We start from the raw sequence: 4820 nt of genomic DNA, 5'->3' as shown, positions 1-4820 counted from the left end.
TCTGATCTCTCGTTATCAAATTCCAAAGATTAATATCTTTTAGGAATTTGGAATCACTAAGCGAATTCTAGAGATTTGTTATAGAATCCCAAGGAATCTAAGAAGCAGAGAGTGAAAACATGTAAACCTGGTGCTCCTAAGGACTTTGTATATTCAGGGTTTTCAATCTTAATTCTAACCTCATCTACATGCGGAGTGAGGAAGTACTCCACATCTAATCATTATTTTATGTTTATATTGGGAAACAATTGTCCTTAACTTAGGACAACATTTCTTTTTGTAGCTTTTGAGATTTATATTTCTGTTGGGTGTTAAAATTTCAAAGGTGAGTAACTATTTACATGAGGGCCAATTGGTTTAAAGAAAGCCTGACAGTTGGAATAAGTCTGTTGAGACTTAAGATATTTTAAAAAGGAACAAAACAAAAGAAAACAACAACAAAAAACAAACAAACAGAAAACCCCTCTCCTTCTGCCAGTTTTAACAATGACAAATCCTGCATTGATTTCTGAATTAATTTACTTTTTGAGTTTACAGGTGTCATACAGAAAACCTACATTACATGAAAAAAGATTTAAGAGCAAAAGTTGATATAAAGGTTTCAAAGTAAGGCACATGGAACCAGAAAACACAAGTAAAGTGAAGTGCACTTAAGTTGTTGGTAAAATATTTGCTCTTGTTTAATAGCCGGTGAATGGATCCTCTCACCTACGTTATCTGACTTGTTGTATAGGTTCCAGCTGACTAATTTCTCTTCTGGGAAAGAGAATGTATACTATGTGAAATAAATTTTCAGAAAAGTGAAACCTGATGTTTACCTGAAATAGCCCAATTTCTTTATTTTTCTGCACACCGAATTTCCTGCTTTTTATCCTTTCCAGAACAGAAAATTTTATGAAGAGGGGAAATTAGAGAGAACTAGAAAATAATAATTCTTTGTTCCTTATGTCATTAAGAATCTCTAAAGAGAAAAGATACAAATCCAATGAAAAGCTGCTCAGAAAAAGGAGACTTATCTCTTTGAAATCCTGATTTCAATTCTTTTGGGCACATACCAGAATTGGGATTGCTGGATCATATGGCAATTATATTTTTAATTTTTAAAGAATTTCCATCCTGTTTTCCATAGTGGCGGCACCATTTAACATTCCCACCAACAGTGCACAAAGCTTCCTAATTTCTCCACACCCTGACCAACACTTGCTCTCTCTTATCCTTTTAATCATAGTTGTTCTACATGTTAGGTGATATCTCATTGTGTTTTAATTTGCATTTCCTTGATGACTATAATGTTGAGCACCTTTCCATGTACCTATTGGCCATTATTATGTCTTCTTTACACTCCTGCGTTCAATGAAGCTTTATACACAGTGGTCAAAATGTGGAAATAGACTAAATGTTCAGTGACCGATGAATGGATAAATAGATGTGGTATAAACATACAATGTAATATTATTCAGCCTTTAGAAAGAAGAAAATTCTGCCTCATGTGACAATATGGATGAACCTTAAGGATGTTATTCTCAATGAAATAAGACAGACGCAGTAACACAAATACTGTGATTCCACTTATATAGGATACCTAGAGTAGTCAAATTCAAAGAAGCAGAGAATAGAATAAAGGTTGCTAGAGTCTGTGTGGAAAGTGGTAGGGGTAGTTGCTATTCACTGGATAGAAAGTTTTAATTATGCAAGATGAATAAGTTCTAGTGATGTGCTGTACAATACTGAGGCTACAATTAACAATACGGTATTGTACACCTAAAAATTCTTTAAGTGGGTACATCTCATGTTAAAGGTCCTTACTACAATTAAAAAAAAAAAAGAAAAAGGAATGGTATATAACCAATAGAAAGGAGAGTCCCATGCAAGTCAGGGCACACTATTTGTACATCTTGTAAATAGAGTACTTGGAGTTGTTTGTGGTTGTAATAGAATAGGAGAGATGGGGAAATACAGTTTTAATAAACATTGTGATACGTAAAACAAACACACTTTGATGCACTTTGATATAATAATGTCAATTTAAAAACTTTCTATTACTGTATTATGTTAATGTAATTTCATTAGACAGGGCTAGAATTGGGCCACATAAATTTTCTCTGCTTTTATAAAGGTTATATCAATTTGATGAATATATATAAACATCTGCCCACTCCCCCAGTAAAACAAACCTATAGGATAAACCCCAGCCTCTTTCTTGAAAATTCTGCCAATGTAGTTCCTACTAATGCTGTATGACTTATATTATTATCATTTCCAGGAAGAAATTTCTGTCATCATTTTGAGAGGTGAAGCTGGCTGGGCTTCTGATTCAGGTGGGGACTTAGAGAACTTTTTTTGTCTAGATAAAGGATTGTAAACGCGCCAATCAGTGCTCTGTGTCTAGCTAAAGGTTTGTAAACGGGCCAAGCAGCACTCTGTAAAAACGCACCAATCAGTGCTCTGTTTCTAGCTAAAGGTTTGTAAACTTACCAATCAGCACTCTGTAAAAATGCACCAGTCAGCCCTCTGCAAAATGGACCAATCAGCATTCCGTAAAATGGACAATCAGCAGGATGTGGGCGGGGCCAAAAAGGGAAGAAAACGTGGCCACAGGGGCCAGCAGCTGCAAGCAGCTCCTTCCCTTCCATGCTGTGGAAGCGTTGTTCTTTTGCTCTTCACAATAAATCTTGCTGCTGCTCACTCTTTGGGTCCGCACTGCCTTTATGAGCTGTAACACTTACTCCAAAGGTCTGCAGCTTCATTCCTGAAGTCAGCGAGACCACGAACCCACCAGAAGGAAGAAACAACATCAGATGCACCACCTTTAAGAGCTGTAACACTGACTGTGAAGATCTGCAGCTTCTCTCCTGAAGTCAGCGAGACCACGAACCCACCAGAAGGAAGAAACTCTGGACACATCTCAACATCTGAAGGAACAAACTCCAGACACACCATCTTTAAGAGCTGTAACACTCACCGCGAAGGTCCGCGGCTTCATTCTTGAAGTCAGCGAGACCAAGAACCCACCAGAAGGAATAAATTCCAGACACGATTTCACCTACACTCTTACTACTTCTATATGCATCCATTATTTCAGTCTTAACTTTGATCACGTTAGATGCACGATTTCATGATCAGTGATTTCTGCTGTTTTGCACTCTCTTTTCAACCTCTGAGGTAGCGGTTGGCCTGCGGTGGAGAAAAGTACCCATAAATATATTTTAAATACATACATAAATATATTAACAAGCTAAGGTAGTGAAGACGAGTGACATGGAAGACTATTTGTAGTCAGGTATCAATTTTTAGGGATGAGAGTCTAAAAGAAATTATGTCACTTTGAAAATAAAAGCGGAAATGAGAGTGGTACAATTGACAGCATTTTCTCTTCCAGTTCCCCACTTAATAATGCACCCAGATTGAAAAGGGTCTCAAGAAATATATGGAACTGACACAGTGTAAGAGAAGTTAGAAAAAAGTTCTGTATGCAAGATAAAGTCCTTGGTGTCTGAGGGACATAAGCAGAAAAAGATCTAGAGAGGTCTAATAACTTGATATGATATTCAAAGAAGCAGACATGGGCATATAGTCATATAGTTTGGAGTTTTCACCAGGACTTTTTCTTACTTTCTTGAGCATCTGCTTTATTTCTTGTAATATGAATATGTATGTCATACTTCGCATAATAATTTCTAATCACTTGTCACCGACATCTTCTCTTCTTTGTGGTATATCTGTTGTTAAATGACATACTCCACTATATATACTTTGTATTTTTGATTTTTCCCTCATATCTTAATTATTTTTCATCAATAGCACTAAAGTAACATTTATTAAAATAGAACTTTATTGTTGGATATATAGTTCCCTGCCCCCATCACAACTGCCAATACACTTAAATTCTTCAAAACTTCCTTATTTAGACTATCAAATTTGACCAAAAAAAAACACTTTTAAATATTCTAGGTTCAGGCAAAATTAATATTTTACAACAGGCAAAATTAATATTTTACAATGATAAAGTATGAAGATAAAAATACCCTGTTTACTCACTAATTTAAATTCAGCAGGCTATTTTTTCATAAAAAGAAGAAGAAAAAGAGAAAAATGTAAGTTCTCATTGCTTCCCACTGGCTGTATTTACTTAATTTCATGCACTTAATATTTTTTTCATCGTTGGTATTCACTATAATTAGCTGAACAAGATGCTTGAAATAATACATTTTAAATAGGAACAATTATATAAAAGTGCTTTTTAAAATTAATTGAAAGCCTAATATAGCAATTGTCGACTGTGTTGCTAGATATGTTACTAAGGACACTGTGGTTTAAAAACAGAAGTTTGGAAAATGCTAAATTACATAAAGTTAAATGGTTATTCAATGGTGAGATTTTCTAGAAATTATTGGTATACAGGAATCCTTAAATGATCTATTAAGCAGAATTTATGAAAAATGTGTTACTATGTATGTTTTATTTTGTTATTAATTTGTAATGCTCTATCTGTGTGGGTACCAGATAGTAATTGTTTGTTATTTATTTACTTTTTTCAAGTTAATTGGAAAATGAAACCTAAGTTTTGCATTTGCATTCAGTGAAGGCAAACTGAGATCTCTGTATTTTGTAATAAGGAAGATTTCACTGCAATTTAAACATAGAAAAGTGGCTTACAACCTGAGTCATCACAAGGTTCACATAGCATAGTCATGCAGAATTCAAAGAAAAATGCCTGTATCATGCACTCAGTCGAAAACAGGAGTTAAACTACTATACATAACCTCATCCTTCACATGAGATTAATGATCTATTTGATAAATATTTAATTTGTATAAATT

General features: G+C 34.6%; 1 annotated feature.

Moving 5' to 3' along the window:
* Positions 2170 to 3369: an enhancer, noted in NCBI's record as "BRD4-independent group 4 enhancer chr16:64313604-64314803 (GRCh37/hg19 assembly coordinates)". NCBI's record gives its function as "activates an origin of replication core promoter dependent on BRD2, P300/CBP, MED14 and CDK7 cofactors, and independent of BRD4, by STARR-seq in HCT116 cells {active_cell/tissue: HCT116}" and the evidence as "EXISTENCE:reporter gene assay evidence [ECO:0000049][PMID:35650434]".

Source organism: Homo sapiens, chromosome 16 (assembly GCF_000001405.40).
Source record: "Homo sapiens chromosome 16, GRCh38.p14 Primary Assembly".
NCBI classification, from domain to species: domain Eukaryota; kingdom Metazoa; phylum Chordata; class Mammalia; order Primates; family Hominidae; genus Homo; species Homo sapiens.
The sequence above is the reverse complement of the archived record's forward strand: the minus strand, read 5'-3'. Positions and strand labels throughout refer to the sequence as shown.